Here is a 22,838-nt window from a genome sequence, read left to right as displayed (position 1 = left end):
ATTTCCAGAGCTATGTGGCTTTTTCTAATACCAAGAAAGCCTTAGGAGAACAGACAGCAGCTCAAGTTAAAGAAAGCACAAAAAAACTCAGATAACAGAAAAGTTCACTCAAGCTTCCTTTTATACTGTCCACTCTTTCATATACATTTTAAATTTGTTGTATATGGTTTTTAAATTTGTAGCATTAAAAATATTTACTTTTAACTTTCATTTTATTTTTCAGAGAATTTTTATGACTATATACACTGGCATGTAAACAAAGAATGGTGAGGGAAGGAAGAAGAGAGAGGAAGGATCAGATAAAATTGGGTATGCAGAATAGGGTGATCGACTGGCCCACTTTCCTTAAACTGAGGAGTTTCCTGGGGAAGAGATTTTCAGTGTTCAAAGTGGGATGAGTTGGTTACCCTAATTCAAACCAAAGGGCACCATGTGTATGACTATATTTAAAGGCTATATTTTCCATTTTGACAAGTTAATAGTCTTGGTCTATTTTCCTGAATTCAGTGCCATTTCACTTTGTGAAACTGACTTTCCAGCTAACCAATCCCATTCTATTTTAGCCCATAGACATATCTACCCTGTAATCAGTTTCAATCAGTGACCAAATACATGATGACCATGATGATAATTTATACACATATTGCAGGTAGGTAAGAAGTATGCATCTTCCAGATGAAGAAAAACTTTCATTCAAGAAGGCAGTTACAGAATTAAGGTTGGAAATCCAGACATCTTACTATTCAGTATCTTTACTGAGTACACTGCAAGTGGTTTAACCATCATTTATGTAATTCAAGGATGCTCTGGTTATCTAAAGGGGTTTAGTCAATTTTATGGCATTTTAATATTACAACTTATATGCCCTACCACACTTTGAGGAAAGGTTGTGGGCACTAGATTTTGAGTATAATGAAAAGACATCTGTCTTGTTCACTGTGGTATCTCCCAACCAAGTACTAAGACTATACTTATTAGGTAATCAATATTTGTTGGATGAATAAAAGACGATGTTAGAAAAAAATAAAAGATTAGTTTCATATTTATCACAACATGCTTGCTGTGTACTTAGCAGTTGTTTGCTCAATAGTATTGAATAACTTATTTCAGAAAAGATCAGAGATTTCTCCATTTTACCTAGAAATGCTGTTGGAAAGAGGACACTGAAAATTCACTCATTGAAAAAAAGGCCTGGAGTAGGTTTTTCAGGAGTAGAGAGGTAGAGAAGGGCACATATCCGAATTTAAACTCCAATTATGGTGATAACCTAACAGTTTAGCTCTTACTTTTAAATCCTATTTTCACTGCTAATGATTTCATATTTATGGGTCATCTTAATTAGATACGGAGTTTAAGTAAAAGGATCATGTTGTACATTTTTTTCTGGGTTTTCCCAGAGAGTAGTGCTTAATAGATATTCAAATAATGAGCTGATTGGCAAATCTTTTTCATATCATTTTAGATGGATATTTATCCTTCCTATTTTTAAAGTACTTCAGGGAGGTCAATTCTACAACCTGTTCAGAAACCTCATTCCAGTGCTTAAGAACTGTCTTCTTTTTTATATCTAACCTCATTTCTTCCCGTTAGTGATTTTGGCCCATTTTCTCTAGCACTGTCCTCAGTGGAAATGGAGAACAGCTAGTTACTATTGCCAGTTAACTCATCCTTCAACCTTTTCTTCAAGCAGAAATTAAAAAAAAATAATTAACTCCCAATGCAGCTCACCCTCTTTCTTATTTTTGAACCACTTCCACTGTTTTCATTATTTTCAATACTATTACCAAGAATGACTAAAGGGGCACAACACATTAATATCCAAATAAATCTACTCCAATTAGCACACCATATAAACCAGTCAGTCATTCAGCAAAAGATTATTAGGGGCCAAAACAGAGAAAAACATTGCAGAGGAAGTCCCTCTGCTTAGAGGAATTTACAATTTCATTAAGGGCACGAGACAGATGTGTAAACTCAAAACTAAAAACCAAGCAGGCCTACAGGAAGTACTCAATGGAAAAACTCAGACTGTAAGAAAAAATTTGATGGGAAGGAGAGAAATGCAAATCAAAGAATTCATAAAGGAGATGGGGCTTGAGGTGGCTTTCAGAAGCCTGGCAGGCCTCAGGGGAAGACGGTCATTCTAAGTGATGGTATTATCTTAAGGCTTCACAAAGCTTGTTTTGGGTAACAGTGAAGAGAGTAAGAGTGAATAATCTGGTTAGAGTGGAAAGTTGGAGAGAGAAACGCTAAAACAAACAAACAAACAAACAAACAAACTGGGACGAGAATATAGAGGGCATTGAATGCCAAACTAAATAGTATGATTTTTCTAGAGGTCCCTGGGACTGGCTGCATTACAATCATCAGCGATTCCCAGGCCTCATATCAAACCTAATGAATTAGAGTCTCTGATAATGAAACCCAGGAATCTATAACAAGCTCTGTAGATGATCCTAGGGTACAGACAGACTTTGAGAACCACTAGGTAACTGGGAAACATCTCGGCTCCCAAGGCAGAATACTATGAATGGATTATGTTTTAAGAACTTGCTATGTGCCAGACATTTATCATCTATTATCTCGTTTAGTCTCGGGGCCACTCTATTAGGTAGATGCTATTATTTCAATTTCACAAGAGAGGAAACTGAGGCACAGAGTGGGTAAGATGAAAGACTAACAGCTAGAAGGAAGTAGAGCTGGATTTGAGCCTAAGTAGAATAGTTCCAGAGCTGCTCTCTTTGCTACTACGTTACATTGCATTTTTGTGTGGAAAGCATTCATTAAATATCTAATAACTGAACAAACGAATGATTGGTAGCTATGCCTAGAATGAACAGGAATGAAGAAATGAATAAAGCAGGCAAATCAGTTAGTAAGTTATTGCAACAATCCAGTTATCAATGACAAATTGAATTAGAGTGGTGGCAGTGGAAGTGGAAAAGAAGGGCCAGATATAAGAGACAGTATTTTGTGAATATCAAGATTGTTGACTGACGGAAGGGTGGAGATGGGAAGGGGGAGGCATCCCGGACATCACGGGATTCCTGGCAGTGCCTCAAACAGAATTGGGAGAGTCAGGATGAGCTGGTGACTTAGATGGGTAGATTCTGAATTAGATTTTAGACATGTTGAAGCTGAGGTTGTGGCAGGGCCACTGTGCAGAAATGATCAGCAGTTAGCTGGAGAAGCAAAATTGGACTGTCTCCAAAATCCTGGTGGATATTATTTAGCAGGATTGAGATAATAGTCCTCAATGTGCAATGAAATATTTGTATATCTCCTATCTATTTTTCAATGTATGTATCTCTTATCTGCTTTTAATTGTTCTGGGAAACCTCTTTTCTATTCTGTGAGGAAAACAGTTACAGTTATTATTTCAAAGATTCAGGTCTCCTTGCTTCATTAGGAACCATCTCATGTTACTAAATTGCTGGTTTGATGTTGCCTTGTCAGGAAAATCCAACGGATGGCAAAAATAAGTATGGGTGCTACAGAGTGTAAGAAAGTATACACTGAAGCGTGGTTGGTGTCCATGCATTTTTAGATGCTGACACCATAGGAACAAAAGTCAAAAGGGGTTTTTGTATCACTATCAGTTCACAGGCTCTCGGGAGGCTGCTTCACTTCTCAGTGTCTCATTCTTTATTATACGCAAAGCAAAGCTATTTGCCACATTCATCTCTCATGCATCTTGAAGATGGATGTTAGTAAATTACATTGAAGTTCTCAGATAAAAGGTACTAAACAAAGAACGGATTCCATTTGCCCCCCAAGCAAATTATTAAATCTATACATGTCATTATCTAATAGTATTAAGTAAACATCCCACAAGGACATGACATTGACCTGGACACGGAACAATGTAAATTAGGCAAATACAGTCCCACCAGGAACTCAGGAATGTTTACATGTATATGAATAAAACTATCATTAATATATTTTATTAGTTATTTAATATGAGTATGCAAATAGGTCCATTAGGAAATATTTTGCATTTTATTAATCCAGCATCTTAAATAAGCATATTTAACCTCAAATGCTAATGAAGTTTATTTATTAAAGTGTATCTTCTACCTTAGTGCCTATGAAAGTTCCTTTTAGCATATCCATTTCTTTAAAAGTTAAGCCAATATTTTATCCACTGGACTTCTGTTCTGATCTGTTAACAAATCTAAACCTCATTATCCAAGAAAAGTAATGAGATAAAGGGGTCTATCCTTCTTCAGTGTTCTTTGTAATTCACATTAACGTTAATGGGAGCTGTGCACGCATATTAGGAGAAGAGAGTTTGAATCAAATAAATAAGCCTTTTGGTTGACACTCTATGTGGTCATTTTTTATTGTGATAAGTATGACAAAATCATTTTACCGCTTTGGACAGCCGTAAACAGAGTTGCACAGCAATCAAGATTACATAGGGTAGGAGGGGAAGGCATGGCAGCAGCAATCAGATTTTTAAATGATTTTGAAAACAAGGTTCCTGTACATTTTCATACCAATTAACCCCATCCATGCCCTTGCCCCTCCATGAACATGTGCTCAAAAAACAGAAGGATAAACAAACATTTGCAGATATGCTTGACAGCTGGAAAATATTATTAAACTCAGATATTAAGCGAACTCTGTGTGCTGGGTGCCACGGCAGCTCATCTGTCTTTGTACTCAGCCCATCAGATGAGTAGCCCATCTGTCTCTGGGTCCTCTTTTAGCTAAGAAATAAATGCCAACCAAACAATCCTAAATGTGCTTGATCTAAATTTAATCTATACTTAACTTTTTAGTTATCATACTTGCATCTATCGCCATCATTTTATATCACTTGCCCTATTCACATAGCACTCTCTCTCATTTTTTTACATTCTCATGTTCACAATCTATCCATATTATGGTTCTAGTTCTTCTCTCTGGTGCTTAGTTGCAAGCCAACAAAAGCAAGGATGTATACACATAAACATATAAATATTATCAGTGATCACACCACTGGGTTTAACACAAGTCAATATCAGTATATTATACTCTCTACTTTGCAATTCCATTATAGGCTCAACACTGCTGGTCATAAAAAGTAGTATTCTGGGCCCAGGCCTGTGATAGTAATAATGGAAAAAAAAGGGTCATTGCTCTTTCCAACCCGAATGAAAAATTAAAATTGCTAGGGCATTTAGCTCAAAGGAAAATTGGCAAATTAACAAAATGAAGAAACAAAATATTCATGGCTCACATTGTGAAAGAGAAAGTAAATAATTTAAGATGGGCTGAAGAGAGAAAATTCAGAGTTACCAAAGAGATAAAAATTGAGCCTAACTCAATTCCAACATGGTTTAGCATCGATTTCTTTTCCTCTGTAATTGTAGATAACCATGGAGAACAATGGATGGCTGCATGGGTGGTGGCCTTCGACATGCAAATTTCTATTTTTTGCCATGGTCATATATTTGTCTCAGTCTCAGTGTATGCAGCCGTCTTACCCTGATCTGTAAGGCTCTCTGTTGTCAATGTATTTCTCCACCTAGCTTGAAGTTGAATTAAGAACTCTGACCCACTTTGGCTTTCATTTTTCATCTGAAATTTCATGTTTCAAACCGGCCTCTACTTCATGAAGCAAAGCACCTTAACTCTAGCCTGTTGTTGGCCTTTTGCCTTTGGGGAAATGAGTGTTAAAATTTCATTGGCCTGGCTACATTGGCTCAGTTACCCTTCATACCCATAAAGTTGAAGGGATACCCAGGCATTTTACAATCACTATCTGGAAAGAGGTAATGACAGGCTGCGGCCACATTACATTTATTGTACATGAGACCTGTAACAGCTGTTATGGGATCAAGGTAAAGAGGAGAAATGTATGACAGATGTCATGTTCCCTGGTGACTTAAGTATTCAGTCTCTATCTAACCTAATTTAAAAACCAAGTCAAAATGTATCTTTATGGGTAATGTATTACAGGACAACCTCAGAGCAGCCTGATGAAATAACTATGAGCCACGCATTAAGAATACCAAGTCCAAACCCACCTACACACTCTGGGCTGAAATACATAAAGAAAGAAAGAAAAGCAAAACAAAACAAAAAACTGTTTTATCCTTTTGAGACCCTTTCTATTTGTATTCTGCAATAGAAGGTTTTGCTTTTCACCAAGTGATTAAATAACCTTTGAAAACAGTTCATGGTTACATTGAGAAAGGGGTGACCCAAAGCTTATAAAATATAAATGATTGAATGATTTTAGCTATGTCATTTCTTTTCTTTATGTAGTTTATTATGCTAGGCTAGAGAATAGGCATCATGCCCAACTACATTACAAAACAGCAGTTAGAGGTAATCTAAAATCTGAAAGAAAAAGTTAGTGGGTTCCAAACGTATCTTGCTTGAGACAAAGGTAATATTTGACGGTCTTGGCTGTCTGAAGTGGAGCCAGAGGGGGAAGACAAGAGGTAATGTCTATCATTCCTTAAAAGAAGACATACCAATAGCCAAGAAATACATGAAAAACTGCTCAGTGATATCACGAATCATCAGGGAAATGCAAATTAAAACCACAATGAGACATCACTGCAAACTTGTTAAAATGGTTATTAACAAAAACATGAAAGATAAGTGTCGGCAAGGATGTGAAGAAAAGGGAGCCCTTCTACACTGTTGGGAATGTAAATTATTACAGCCATCATGGAAAACAGTGTGGCCGTTACTCAAAAATTTAAAAAGAACTACCATATACTCCAGCAATATCACCATTAGGTATTTAAAGGAAATGAAATTGGTATGTCGAGAAGATATCCGCACTCTCATGTTAATTGCAGCGCTATTCACAACAGCCAAGACATGGAATCAACTTAAGTGCCCATCAGCAGATGAATGGATAAAGAAATGTGGTATAAACACACAACGAAATACTATTCAGCCAGCTGGGCATGGTGGCTCAAGCTTGTAATCCCAGCACTTTGGGAGGCCAAGGCGGGCAGATCACGAGGTCAGGAATTTGAAACCAGCCTGACAAACATGGTGAAACTCCGTCTCTACTAAAAATACAAAAATTAGCCGGGTGTGGTGGCAGGCACCTGTAACCCCAGCTACTCAGGAGGCTGAGGCAGGAGAATCACTTGAACCCGGGAGGCGGAGATTGCAGTGAGCTGTGATCACACCACTGCACTCCAGCCTGGATGACAGAGTGAGACTCTGTCTCAAAAAAAAAAAAAAAAAAAAAAGAAAGAAAGAAAGAAAGGAAGAAATACTATTTCAGCCATTAAAAAGTAGAAAATCTTGTCATTTGCAGCAGCATGGATGAACCTGGGGGACATTATGTAAGTGAAATAAGCCAGACACAGAAAGACAAATACCATATGACCTCACTTATATGTGAGGTGTATAAAAGTCGAACTCATGGAAAGAGAGAATAGAATGATGGTCACCAGAGGCTAGGCTATGGAGGGGTTGAAGAAATGTTGGTCAAAGGATGCAAACTTTCAGCTAGACAGGAGGAATAAATTTAAGCAATCTATTATTCACCATGGTGACTACAGTTAAAAACAATATGTCTTGTACTTGAAACTTGCTAAAAGAGTAGATTTCCCAGCACTTTGGGAGGCTGAGGCAGGCGATCATGAGGTCAGGAGATCGAGACCATCCTGGCTAACATGGTGAAACCCCGTCTCTATTAAAAAAAATACAAAAAATTAGCTGGGCGTGGTGGTGGGCCCCTGTAGTCCCAGCTACTTGGGAGGCTGAGGTAGGAGAATGGCGTGAACCCAGGAGGCGGAGCTTGCAATGAGCCAAGATCGCGCCACTGCACTCCAGCCTGAGTGACACAGTGAGACTCTGTCTCAAAAAAAAAAAAAAAAAAAGAGTAGATTTTAAGTGTTCTCACCATGAAAGAAATAAGTATGTGAGGTAATGTATATGTTAGCTTGTTTTAGCCCTTCCACATTGTGTATATATATTAAAACATCATGTTGCATACCATATATAGACAGTTTTTACTTTCCAATGAAAAATAGATGATAGATAGATAGATAGATAGATAGATAGATAGATGGATAAGAAGTAATGTCTATCAAGTTAGGCACTACACTGACAGCTTTGCTTACCTAAACCGTTTAACTTAAATTTTACAACAACCTGGACAGGATGTGTTATTATACTTAGTTTGCTGATGAGGAGGTGACTGAAACTCAAAGGGACTCGTGAAGGCCGCAGAGCTTGTAAGGGATAGATTTTTAATTAGGTTCAGCATTAATTTGGTGGTAGTGAAGGCCACAGAGCTTCTAAGGGACAGATTTTTAACTAGGTTCAGTGTTAATTTGGCTAATTTGGTGGTGTGTTGTTTGTGGTGGTAGTGGTAGGTGTGATGTGTGTGTAGGAGTGTTCTTTTTAAAATAATTCACAGCAGGATGTCTTTATATAGAATTCCCCTAGTTTAAATAAAATAGATAGTATATTTTAGAATAAAATGAAGTAAACATATATGCCTTAAAATCTGTAAGGCTTAGGAACAAAAAGTTGATGCCTCTAGATTGTTAAAAATACCTTTGCCTCAAGGGTTCATGATTTAGCTTTGTCTGATGCTCCACTATGTAACCGAACTAGTCTATCTTTGAGGTATGCTTGCATTATCTGAGTTGAGAAGAAACAATAAAGAATATCCAGCTGATGAGGTAGGAGGAACAGAGTTGATCCAATCACCTGTAAACCAAGTTCACCATTTACATTAATGCCCACCTGTCTTAGAATGTGTACTGCAGGTATCCTAGGGTTTTGTGTACTAAAACAGACACAGTTTGGGTTAGTTTTTTGTTATAGCTCTATGTGGAGTTGGTTTAAAAATAACCTTCCCATATTTATAAGTTGCAAAAAAGAAAACAAAAGCAGGCATAAAGTGATTTGGCTTTAGTACCATAGTGTGCTAAATTCTGATAACGTATCTGCTGAAAATTCAGTGTAGCTTGGGCTGTGTGCAGTGTGCACTCTATTCTGCTGTTAGACCGTCACCAAGGGTGGGATGACACCATTCTTTCTGCTTTACCTTTTTCATAGCACCTACTACAATTTGGAATCGTATCAATTATTTTGGATTAGTTGTTTATTCTCTTCCCTTCACTGGAATGTAAATTCCGTGAGAGCCATGGCCTGGATGTCTTGCTTGACACCATGTAAATTGACCATTGATTCCCTCGAGCTGATGGGGTACTGGATTGTCCCTGAAATATCTAGTGAATATCCCCTTCACTCCCTGGGTAATCCACTGTTACAAATAGTTTACATGTTTATGTAATATTTTGCTTGTCTTGGGGTTTTGTTTTGTTGTTTGGTTTTTTTTTTTTTTTGAGACGGAGTCTCGCTCTCACCCAGGCTAGAGTGCAGTGGTGCTATCTCGGCTCACTGCAAGCTCCACCTCCCAGGTTCACGCCATTCTCCTGCCTCAGCCTCCTGAGTAGCTGGGACTACAGGCGCCCGCCACCACGCATGGCTAATTTTTTGTATTTTTTAGTAGAGACGGGGTTTCACCATGTTAGCCAGGATGGTCTCAATCTCCTGACCTCGTGATCTGCCTGCCTCGGCCTCCCAAAGTGCTGGGATTACAGGCGAGAGCCACCATGCCTGGCTGCTTGTTTTTGTTTTAATCTCACCACAATGAACTCAAAAGTTTTTATCCTTCCTTCCTTTATTAAGACAGGAAAAGTGCTGTTAAAGCAGGACTTGGTTGCTGTGTGTCAAGTGCCTAGAACAGTGCCTGATACAAAATAGGGCTTTAATAAATTAACTGATAAGTTTAATTATTGATTACAATAAATTAATAGATATAGCATAAAAATAATTATGAATGTGCTTGGCAAAGACAAGGCTTTCAATAAATGTTACTAATCAAATGATATGGGCAAACACATTTTAAAAGCAAAGATGAAGTTCCTATTGGCAGCGTTTGTACTTGGTTCTTCATTAGTCTAGTAAAAAGGAGTTTGCAAGGCATAATTCCTCTTAGGATCAAATTTTATAAAAGTTGTAGATAAGGGAATCTGAACCATATCAAACCTTTCCATTCAGTGTCCAAAATAAGTTGACAGTTCAAAGGTTTTTGAAGTGAGTGGCCTATAATATCAAAAAGAGACAACAGCAGCTATTATATAAAAAAAATGGATTTGAACATAAATCTATGACAGAATTTAGTTTAAGTAACATAAGGATTGACAAGGTTATTAAGTAAGAAATCAGAAACTAATCTCTGGGTTTTCCACTTTAGACAAGGTAAAATTTTCTTTGTCAAAGGATATTTCTCTTTGGCTCCTAGAAAAATCTGCTAGGCCCCAGGAAGGTGGCCTAGGACTGACAGCAATGGGCTTGTCTTTTAAAGGAGCTGGAGCTTCACCCTTTGGCTGAAAGGGGCATGAACAGTCTTTCTGCAGGTTAGTGCCATAAAGAGCACAATATGTATGGAACTCAAACATATAATGAAAAAATTTAAGCACAGAGCATACAGAGAAACTACAAAATTGGTAGGCTCTTGAGCTGCATATTTTTCCACAATAATAATAATAATTCATGGTCTATATAAGAATCACACTTGAATCATGCAAGGAGATAATTCTGAAATCAACAAAGTATAAGCATATTGGAATTAGACAACATGTATAAAGATATTAATTAAAGACATCCTCTGTAATTTTTTCAAAAGGATCAAGAGTAGGTTAAATTAAGAAGTTAAACTGTGCTACTACATATTATTGACACAAATGGACCAGCTAATATCAGAAAAGTGCAAACACTTAGCTTTTCACAAACAAGAACAAGAACACCACTAAGGCATTCACATTTTCATGATGCCAGCCTTGGTGAGGAAAGGGAGGCAGGATTTAAATCTTCATTCACCCCCTTGGCCAGGTGCCATTCTACATGGTATAACTGCATGACCCATCCCAATACCCTATCTTCAGGAGAGCATCTGAGAAACGCAGATAACGGAAAAAATAATACATACTTAAAACACACATCTAACTCCAAGAGAACCTTAAAGCAATCAATCTTTTTTTAAATAAGAAAGAAACTAAGTCAATAGCATCTGAGCAACAGATGAGAATTAAAGCAAAATCTGTTGGCTAATGGTAACAGCTTTGTGTTCTTTGTTGTTGAAAATGTGCATGTAGCAGTAACTCCAATATGCTCACAAACTCAGATGCAAAAGGCTATGGAAAACAGTTGCTATTTTTACACAGAAGATAAAATCAAACACCACCTTTCAGATCTTAACTTTGCTAAAATCGTGGAAAGAAACAAAGCCCGAGGTGCTAAATGTCTAAAGGATCCAGGACCTGTGATTTCTACTACATGAAAATACAGAATATATGGGACAATAAAAGGGAAGAACCAGCACTGTATTATGGGCAATGAAGTATGAACATGCCAAATCAAATCATCTGAAATAAAATATAAAGTTAAGGTTTAATTTAGTAATATTCTAGAAAATGGGATATGTGAAGCTCTAACAGTTTTTATATTTACAGACTATTTTAGTTAAATATTTTAATAGTGTTTTTCGTTAACACCTTAAAGAAAAAACTCTTCCTTATACATTACTATGATATCATAAAAGTAGTAAAAGTAATTATGATGATAACTATATTAGTTTTTGATTTGATGCTGTAAGAAATTACAACAAACAGTGGTTCAAAGAACACAACAGGGCTAAAACCAAGGTGTTCAAGGAGTTGTTAGGCTGCATTCCTTTCTAGTGCTCCCCAGAGAGAATCCATTTCCTTGCCCTTTCTAGTTTCTAGAGGCTGCCTACATTCCTTGGCTCATGGTCCCCTCCCTCCATCTTGAAAGCCAGCAGCACTACATTTCTCTGTACCTCATTTCCACAGTCACCTTGTCTTCTTTTACTTTAAGGCTCCTTGTGATTACATTGGGTATATTGGGGAAAATGCAGGATAATCACCTTATGTTCAGGTCAGCTGATCAACAACCTTAATTCCACCCGCAACCTTAATTTTCCTTTGTCATGTAACAAAATATTTACACAAGTACTGGGGGTTGGGATGCAGACACCTTCAGGGGTCATTATTATGTTTACTATAATAATTAACATTTATTGAATGTTTATTGCTTGCCAGGCACAGGTCTAACCATGTTACATCTAATAAAATATGATTCTCATAAAAATGATAATTCTATTATGCTTCTCATGTTTCAGATGAAGACACTGAGACAACAGAAGTTAAAGAACTTGCTCAGTGTTACAGAAGTGAAAATTAGAGAAGCCAGGATTGAACTCAGAAAGTCTGTAGGCAGAGCCTGTAATTTTCACCTCTCAACTCCATCCCTTCAAAGACAAAATTCTTATCTAAATATATTGCAATTACATGTTGTCATTATCATCAAGATGGTTAACTCACAGTTCATAAATTCTGGCAATCCTAATAATTATCTAGAATATGGGCAAGTTTAAAATTCAAAATGGCAACTGGAAGGACAGAGTCTACAGAGGCCATCAGGACGAATGTCTATTGGGACATCTGTCCCAATCTGGCATTTACTATACTATAGATCATATTCAATAAAATGTATGGGAGGCCATTATTTGAGCTCCTGCACTAGGCCACAACAGACCAGACCAAACCAGAATGGAGTCACTCATGCTACATGCCACATAATCAAACTGAACTTAGAAATGGGTCAGTTTCCCAAAATATAGGAGATTCCCAGCAACTAATCAAAGGAGGACCAGTGACATGAGCTGGAATGATAAAGTCCCTCTACTTTAACCCTATAAGGAATGCAATTTGGAAATGAGCAATCCTTTTTTTGTTCCTTGTTTCTGCTTTCTTCAGTCTTTTTCTGCCTATGAAGCTCACACCTTCTGCTCATCTCACTCAAATGCCCTTCTATTCTGTAGATGGGATGTGGACCAATTTATGAATCACTAATAAAATCCAATTCAATTGTTAGAACTCAATTTGCTGAAATTTTGTTCTTTTTAATTTTAATTTTTTGAGATAGGGTCTTACTCTGTTGCCCAGGCTGGAGTCCAGTGAAGGGATCATGGCTCACTGTATCCTCTACCTCCCAGGCTAAGTCAATCCTCCCACTTCAGCCTCCTGAGTAGCTGGGACTATAGGCACATGCCACCATGCCCAGCTAATTTGTGTTTTTTTCCTTTTTTTATGGAAATGGGTTTTTGCCATGTTGTTCAGGCTTGTCTTATAACTCCTGGGCTCAAGTGATTTGCCCATCTCAGCCTCTCAAAGTGCTGGGATTACATGCCTGAGCCACTATGCCTAGCTGAATTTTTTTTTTTTTTTGAGATGGAGTTTTGCTCTTGTTGCCCAGGCGGGAGTACAATGGTGCAATCTTGGCTCACCACAACCTCTGCCTCCCAGGTTCAAGCGATTCTCCTGTCTCAGCCTCCCGAGTAGCTGGGATTATAGGCATGCACCACCACGCCCGGCTAATTTTGTATTTTTAGTAGAGAAGGGGTTTCTCCATGTTAGTCAAGCTGGTCTCGAACTCCTGACCTCAGGTGATCCGCCCGTCTTGGCCTCCCAAAGTGCTGGGATTACAGGCTTGGGCCACTATGCCTGGCCAAAATTTTGTTTTTTAATATTCAGATAGCTATTATGACATCAGGCCTGCTGGGGTAACCTCACCCCAGGTGATAGCAGGACCGCAGCAAGTCTTGTCATAACACATCCAGGGGCAACATCGCTCCCAAGATTTTGAGCATGAGGAACCTTGCTTAGCATTTCATGAGCACTGGAAATGTAACGGGAAGGCTCACTGCTAAGAGGATTATTTGTATTCCCTAAATGTCACTTATATATGGAATGATGGAACTTTCTTTTCTATGTAGAAATTTCAGCTGATGATCACAAAATGAGAACAATTGGTAATAAATACACGCAGCATTCTTAAATGAGGTATCTCCTAAGGGTTTCATAAGAGGTGGCCAAACTGGCCCCTAAACCATCATCTCCCATCATTCACCTTCAGCCCACAGAAGTATAGTGATCAATTGATTTGAGAAGAAATTATAGGAGTAAAGACAGTAATAGAAAGGGGTACTTCTGCCTGTAACACCCAACAAAATAAGTGAGGGGGCTACAAGTAAACCCCTTAGGGAATTTGGAGGTAATTGTATAATAGGAGATTGTCACCCCACTTCCTACCTGTTTATTTTGTGACTTGCAAAAATTGACTGCCTCCTCCCTTCCCCATGCATGACAGCATTCTTGGGAGAGTCTGATGTGTGCTTCTGGAGTGAGGAGGCCCAGAGCTGGTGTGGGATGTGCTGGAGAAGTCTGAAGATGCAAGGCTGGTTGGAACATCTCTATGGTGGGGTGAGGAGGAGCGGTACAGTGGGAACAAGCTGTACTTGCATCATTTGGAGGGTGGGAGATCAGGAACTCTAATAAGCCAGGTAGATGCTGTGGCTGTAAGTTAAGCTAGAGCTGTCTCAAACTGGCACTGTCCAAGAAGTCTACCAGCCGGGGTAAGGAGACTCAGGGGTATATGTCTGAGGTCAGAGGCTTAGGGAAATAGGTCAGTGGGAAAATCACCTACATTAGTGACTGGTATAGTAAGGAGCACTCTAAAAAATCCACAAAAGTAGCCACAAAGATTCCTTGATGGCCAGATTATACCAGATAATGCCAGTTAAGTAAAATCCTATCCTATTGAATCTTGTCTTTGTCTCCTGGTTCCAAAGACTGAGAAATAGGAGAAGGTGGAATCCTGCCTCCCACCATACCATAGGATGCTCCTTGTGGTTCAGGTCCAACAGGCAGAAAGGAAGAAAGCTTTCATTTATATTGGATTGCATATTTTAGCCCCCGACAAACAAGTTGCTTTTTTTTTTACCCAAAAGTGACCAGAAAGCTATCAGCCAGAAAGCTGAGATGTCAGGGTGTGGAAGAGGCAGCCTCAACAGTTTATACTTGAAGGGGAGAGAAGAAACAAAGCTGTTTTCTGACTGTGCCATGTTGAGCCCCGTCTAGTCAATGAATGTATAGCATATGAAATCATATCTCACAACTGTGCTGGGTCAGTAGAGCAAGTATGCTGGCCTCATTTTAAAAGTAAGGAAAGTAAGGCTCAGGGAAGCTAAGCAATGTGTGTGAAGCCCCATTGCTCATGTGTGGGGAGTCATGGATCCAGACTTGGGCATCAGAGCCCAGACCCAGTGACATCTCCCCTGTACCACAGTGCCTCTGGAGGTGACAAGTGATGTGCCCAGAGGCCCGGCCACTGCACACCTAGAGTCACAGAGGGATGAGGTTCATCTACCCTGACTCCCCTGCTTCAAAAGAGGTATTCCAGAGGTAACACATAGGGCTTCCCCACTTCCCACTTTCCCTGTGGTGTCAGAGGAAGTATTTATTTTCATAACACTTTGGTACAAAGGACTGCAGGCATTGTCCATGCCTCTACTAAGTATTGGCCTTTCTTTTATGGTGTAATCATAGCTCACTGCAGCCTTGAACTACTGGGATCAAGCCATGCTCTGGCCTCAGCCTCCTGAGTACTTGGGATTACAGGTATGCACCACTGTGCCTGGCTAATTTTTTTTTTCTTAGAAATAGGGTCTCCTGCCTGAAACCCCAGCACTTTGGGAGGCCAAGGCAGACAAGGCAGATCACTTGAGGTCAGGAGTTCAAGACTCCTGGCCCACATGGCGAAACTCCACTCTACTAAAAATACAAAAATGAGCTGGGCGTTGTGGTGCATGCCTATAGTCTCAGCTACTAGGGAGGCTAAGGCAGAAGAATCGCTTGAACCCAGGAGGCGGAGGTTGCAGTGAGCCGAGATCACGCCACTGCACTCCAGCCTGGGCGACAAAGCGCGACTGTCTCAAAAAAAAAAAAAAAAAAAAAAAGAAAAGAAAAAAGAAAAAAAGAATAGGGTCTCCCTACCTTGCCCAGGCTGGTCTTGAACTCTTGGGCTCAAGCAATCCTCCCAGCCTCCCAAAGTACTGAGATTACAGGCATGAGCCACCGTGCCTGGCATAGTGTTGACCTTTCTTTGACAACAAACTTAAGACAGTGTCCTGTCATCACTGTAACTTTCCCCAAAAAGCTCCTCTGCCTCTGCAGAAAGAGAACGAGCACAGAATTGAGAGCCGTATGCATTTGGCTGAAGACGAGGAAAAGCGTGCGCTTTTTTCTGAGTACAGACAAAGGAGTGATTTTACCAGGAGAGACAAAATGAGAACCAACTTTGCCTTCAAAGCAGGCCCATACCTCAGCATGGCGCCGAAGCCCTTCTTCTTTATTTTCCTTTCTGGATCTTCATTCTCCTCTTTGCGCTTTTTCTCCTTGACTTTCAATTTGCCCTTTTCCTTTTTCTTCTCCTTCTCTTTCGTTTTTTTGACTTTCCTGGCTTTATTTTCCATGTCCTCTAGCTCCGAATTCCCCTGAGGGGCAGACTCACAATTCAGAGCTCCTTGGCCAGAGTGAGAGCTCTTATCAGACAGACCGTCTGTACAGAGAAAAAATAATCAATACCCATGGTCAGGGGCACACTCAGTTAGTATACAGAGAAACGCTAACATGTAAAATGCAAAAGAATGAATAACAGCACTCTGTAGTTCTACCCTTCTATGTGGTTACGTGCGCCCTTTGAAGATCTGACTGCCTAAATCTGGTTACTTCGAGCAAGACTTGATGCTGGGAGTGGGGACAACCGGTTGCTTAGCTGGTAGTATGAAAGGCTTGATATGTGTTCAAGCACTAATCTCTCTGAAAGCTGCCTTGTTAACCTTGATCAGCTCAGAAAGCCTGCATGCTGGGAAACAAACAGGGTGAGAAGAGAGTTTTGAGTACAAAATATCCCAACTGCTTCTACCCAATTAATGCAGTCGGAGTCCTTGGATTGATGCTGCCTCTAATGACTCGAATGAGAATGTCAAGAAATGCATACTTAGTGCTCCTACCCTAAGGGTAAATGACAGTTGGTCCTTGTAGAAAAGTGAAGGAGAACATTTATTTAGCCTTGCACTGTAAAATAAATTGCATATTGTGTTCTCCAATTCCATGTTCATTAAGCCAAAGGGCAAAACATATCAGGAAAATGAATTACTTTTAATATCAAAAATATAATTGTGATCCTTAAATCATTTTTTTCTGTAGTTGAGCACACATTCTTGCCCATGATTTGCAGATAATAATGAGATGAAGAAGCCATTTAAGGAAGCATATCATCCTACCAGCTTCTATTTCTTCAGGTCCATCGTAGGATTTGTCAATGGCTGCTCTAAAGCTCTCATTGCAGCCTCGGCCTCGAACCATGTGCGGCCGGGGCCTGTGAAAGGGAAGGTCATTCTTCCTGACCTCGGCCACTGCAGTCTGCAGACTCTCCAAGGAGCTGGACTTTTTCAAACCCAGAGTTGGACCAAAATCTTTGCTTGGAGATTCTGGAAAAGAAAGGGCAAAAGGTCACCCCTCTTCTAATGGGGCAGTGTGGTGTAATGCTATTGTTCTAAGAATATTTCTGTCTGGACATCCCAAAAAAGGGGTGTTAAGTGGGTGGGAGTTGGGGTTATACTCCAGCTTTGCCACCTTTTGTAACCTTGAACAAGTGGTTTGACTTCTCTGAGCCTCTGTTTCCTTTTCTAAAGCTGTGATAAAATTTAATATGACTATAGGTACATTTCTCTCTATGCAGAAGTGTATATGCATGTGTGTCTATAGGCATATACACACACACCTATGAATTTGAAAGGCTGTAGCTATTTATAGAGACTATGTATGTGAATGAGAGTGATTTCACATATGTGAGAATACCCACATACACACATGCATACTCACAGACACACACACAAACATACCAAGCACCTAACATGACGAGAGCTTCTCTTCCAGTATCGTCCTAGCACTCCCACACCTGACAGCTTTTATCATTGCCATGGTTGCTCATATGATTAGTAAGGAACATACTGGGCATGGAAATAAAAGAACATTGAAGTGACTGTGATTTTTCTAATTAAACACTTTACCTTACCCTATTGGCTATTAATGTATGGTAACTGCCATTTATTTAATCAATCAATCAAGCAAGCAAAGCAAGAAAGAAAACAACTTTTCTGTGTCGATGCTATAGTTCTGAATGTATTCCTATTTGGTATCTAGAAAAGAGGCAACCTTTTAATGCAATATAAAATTATAAAACAGAAAATATAGAGCACAACTGAATTTGAATCATTGCTTTTCTGGTATATAATGTTTTTCATTTGTGCGGTTTGCCTTGCCCTCTACCTGCCCCCTCCCACTCCATTCCTTGACCTCCATTCCCACCCCCAGCTAGTCTCTCAATTATCAATAACAGGATTAGGTTATATAAATATTAGCAGCATTATATATATATATTATATATATATATATAATATATAATATTAGCAGGATTATCTTTAAGACAGAAGGAATTCTATCAGGGCTCTTGTCTCTACAGTCAAAGCTTTTCCACCAGGGCCACAGCTCATGTTCCTTTCCAGTTACGAAGGAGACTACTGTCATGAAGTCTACTTGCATTTCTGGGAAAAAACGACTGTGTCATTTATCAATAGACAAGAGTACCTATTAAGAATTATGTATGTAAAGTACCTACTTCAATGTCTAGCACCTAGCAAGGCTCAATAAACGGCACTATCTTTTATTACTATCATCACTATTTTTGCTTCTATTATCACTGCCACTATGAACACTACTACTAGCAGCTGCACACAGCATTAAGGAATACAAAAGAAGTACAAAAAAGCACTGATGTATATATATACCTATGTGAAGTGAAATAGCAATACACACCTTTACCTATGATCCGAACGTGTTAAAAATAGTCAACATAATGAATAATCGTAATAGCTAATAATGCATGGAGTGCTTAGTCTGTGTTAAGCACTATTCTAAATGCCTCACCCACAGTAACTTACTATAATCCTTATAGTTGTGCTACTGGTACTACTTTTAGCCCCATTTTACAGATTCAGAAATTGAGGCACACAGCATTGACATAACTTGTCTAAAGTTAAACACTTAATAAGCATCCAGACCAGGAGCTGGGCCGAGGCAGCCTAGTTCCAGCTTTTCTGCTGTGTACCATGTACTTTACTGTCTAAAGATGTATTTGCTCTGCACCCTCTATTTGATTATGGTCAAACAACTTAAACTGCCCTACATTGTCCTCATTTCTAAAATAAGAATATTAGGCTAGATTAACCCTGGAGCCTCGTCAAGTAGGCAAACTGCAAAAATTGGATGTTGCGTTATAGTTTCATCATTAACTTATAGGAGACAACTTTGCACTTTGAACAATATACAGGATGACAATAAACACTAGATTTTATAAACCCTACTGGCTATTAATGTAGGGTAAGTGCAATTCAGTATTCAGTAAATTCAACAGAGTATATTCAATAAATGCAACAGAGATAAGACTAAGCAAAAAAAAAAATACAAAAAATTTCAGGGACAAATTTCAGGTGTTACTTGCAAGTCATAAATACTGAGGATATGTCACTATTAAATCCAGAAAGAGGCATATTTTTTATATTCCCAGGAAGGAAGATAAGTTGAAGAAACAGAAATTGAATAAGATGATTTCTGACAAGAAAACAAAAGGCATCACAGAGGTTTGGGTGTATAGAAGCAATAGTAAAAGCTTTGGAGTTTACAGAAAATATTTTATAATATCAGCCCCTAGGGATGTCTGACATGAAGTTTAGTGAAAACATGAAGATGAAAACTATCTGAGAAAGCCCTGATTCTCTGTCAGCAATAGTAACCATCTTTTATTTATTAATTGCCATTCAGGAGATTACATTAGAGCCCAAACTGTAAGCATTCACGTCAACGTTTAGCAATAAATTCCAGGGAACATGAAAGTGAATAAATCGTCCAAGATAGAAGGCACGTTATCTAAAAGGAGCTCATGTGAAGCTCAGCAAGAAGTCATAGCTAAGAAGAAACAAATACACTGTTCCTCATTCTAAGCAAACTGAACATTAAGGATTCATGGATTTTGCAAGATTAATAGAGTTGGCAATTAATTCACTCTATATAAATAGAAGTCACAAAGTAGAAGTACTAACTGATGTTGGGCAATATTACAACCTAACTCTATTGGATGTAATACATGGTAATATTAAAAGCAAAAAGGGTGGTTGAGTCCTTAGGTTGTAAATGTGGACTCTGGAGTTTTCAGGATTGGAAAAAAAATTCTATTTATTCCTGGAGAATGCACAGAATGTAGCTGTAGAGTAGGGACTCATGTTAGAGAAGAGAACCAAAATCAGGAAAGTCCTTATAAGGATTTACAGGTACAGTGAACTGACTGAACTGGGGGCTCTGACAAGCACCTTCTCCAGGGATCCCCATGTCTTTCATATGTTTGAGGGCTCCTACAGAAGGTCAAGGTTACCTGCTGTGTAAGGGATTATAATGTCAATTGAAAGGCATCAGTGTTAAATTCCAACAAAACACTTGGAATAAAATACCCTCCCTGTAAAGATTGTGTGGAGTACAATAAATTGCCACTTTCAATCCCTCTTCCCTACTCCTACTCTCACCAATTTCAGTTTAGGTTGATGGTGCGTAGAAAATTTTACAGCTTTTAAAATGAGAAGATTCACTGTCTATGTCTAGCCTCACCATTTACAAAAATCACATTTTTTTTTTCTAGGCTTTCACTAAAACCAGGGGTCTCAAGAAGAGGTCTCTTTCAAGTGAGTAATTTAGCAAAATCAAAACCTCAGCCAATTGATCCCATTGAAGTTATCCTAAAATATGATGACTCTTCATATTTTCATCTATAGCTGATGCGATATTGGTTGTGGCTTCTATGTCCATGTTCTTTAAGATCGAGAAGAACGGATCCTCCCCTCACAAACATGAGCTCAACATACACAAGATTCATGAAACAGATGACACACAATTATCAAGGGTGCTAAAAGAAGGATCTCACATAAAAATTATTCTCAAGGTGGTATAATAAAAACATTCTTAATGTCAGGTGCCAAATTTTCTCTTAAAATTGTGGCCTCATTAAAAAAATGCCACATATTTTTTTTTTTTTAAAAAGATGTTATAGCGCTTTTAAAGATTCCATCTGTTTCCAAATGAAGGATTAGCTTGACATGGTCCTATATAGAGTAGAGGGAAATTTCAGGGTCATGTCTTCTGCACAGATCAATCCTCCGATACATCCCCTACTACCCTCCATTCCCAAAAATACAGCGTTATGAAAAGAATGAACACACACACACACACACACACACACACACACACATACACAAACACACTCCAAGACTAAAGAGTTAAGCTGTGCCAGGCAAAATGCCCATGTGTCCTGTAGGCATAAAAAGGGTGGCAAGAGGCCCATGAGAGAGCTACCACCTAGTTGGAGAGGTGCCACTATGAAACTGATTCTTAAGATGCTGAGAAACCGCTGCCCCAGCCTTCCAGGTATTATAGAAAGCCTCACTTCAACATGCTATGAAACAGAAGGTCCTTCCTGGAGGATAGTTTGGATGTGGACCTCAGTTTCTCTGACTCAGTCTTGGATTCCTGCCCTTGCCTTACAGCTGAGCACTGCTGTTGCTTCTCCACAGGCAGATGATTTGAATAATTGAGAATAAAACTGTCTAGAGGGTAGTGGTTAATACTGAAGGATTAAAAGGAGGCTGTAGAATATCCAAACATTCCCTGCCCTGCTAATTACTTCTTGAGTTAATAACCTCTTTGTGCCTCAGTTCCCTCAGCTATCATATTGAGGATAAGAAAAGCATAGAAGGGTGCCTGGCACATCGTGAGTGCTCATAAAGCAATGGTGATCATTACTGTCACAGTCACTTTTGTACCACCTCTAAACATTTCAATGAGGGAAATCTTAGATTTGGTTCAATCCATCATTGAATTCTTAAATATGATCATGCGTTCTACAAACAGCTAAAAAGGACTTCATAAAAAATGCTTTCCCTTTTTATTCAAAAAGGGAAACAACTCCTTAAATTTTTTTAAAACAATTAAACTCCTGAAATTGTTTTTTCAAACAATGCCTTACATTTCTTCTTTTGACACAGGTATATATATGTTCATCTGTTCATCACATATAGAGGCCATTGTGATAAGATAGATTAATAGTGGAGTCTTAGTTGCCCTTCTCCTTAGGCTATAATCACCTAATTAGTCTGAGATTTAATTGGCAATGTTTGAACTTCCCACTTTAGCATTAAAAATCTCACAATAAAAGAATGTCTTAATCCAGAAGACCAGTAATTGGATCTTCCATTATTGATGAAATTGCTTCCAATACATCCATATTAAAAAATGAGAAATTGTCTTAGGGAAGATATTCACTTCCAGATACATGGCAAGTTTTTCTTCCAGCTAGAGCTTTGTAATTAACAAATACTTATGATAAATTAACAATAAATAATGTATTAATTTGTACATTCCAATAACATCAATGGCCCTCACGGCACTTAGTGAAAATTAATTAATTTACAATCCTTCCTTCTAAAATAAAGGGATTGTTTCCCATCATAAATTAGGGATCAAGATTATTATAATGCCATCCAGGGGTCACAGCATGAGACCTGGGAAGGCTGAGAACTTGTCAAGATAGCTTGCTTTTATTATCAATTTGGCCTTGCCTTATTATGAGCAGTCAACTTGGACAAACACAATAGAAACGCCTTTCCTGCTGCATGGGGAGTTGTGATGTGAAATTAATAAATGTAAAACTCTTTGAATACAAAATTATTGTAAATTCCAAGTAGGAGTCACAATACCACTTTATTCTCCCACATATTTCACTTTGTCTTTTCATTTTAGATTACATTTACTGAAAATTTTCTGTTTGAT

General features: G+C 38.6%; 1 protein-coding gene across 17 annotated transcripts in view; it reads right to left on the bottom strand.

The window, feature by feature from the left end:
* PARD3B (par-3 family cell polarity regulator beta) overlaps positions 1-22,838 on the bottom strand; it is a 1,074,688-nt gene that overhangs the window by 302,238 nt on the left and 749,612 nt on the right. For 16 of the 17 annotated variants that reach the window (XM_047443208.1, NM_001302769.2, NM_205863.4 and 13 more), the window contains 2 exons: positions 17,189-17,395; positions 16,224-16,461 (listed from right to left, as the gene is read on the bottom strand). In XM_047443208.1, coding sequence (XP_047299164.1) covers positions 16,224-16,461; positions 17,189-17,395 — 445 coding nt within the window. The remainder of the gene's footprint in view (positions 1-16,223; positions 16,462-17,188; positions 17,396-22,838) is intronic. The other variant, NM_057177.7, reaches the window with a different exon arrangement.

Source organism: Homo sapiens, chromosome 2 (assembly GCF_000001405.40).
Source record: "Homo sapiens chromosome 2, GRCh38.p14 Primary Assembly".
NCBI lineage: Eukaryota > Metazoa > Chordata > Mammalia > Primates > Hominidae > Homo > Homo sapiens.
This window is presented reverse-complemented; position numbering and strand designations above follow the sequence as displayed.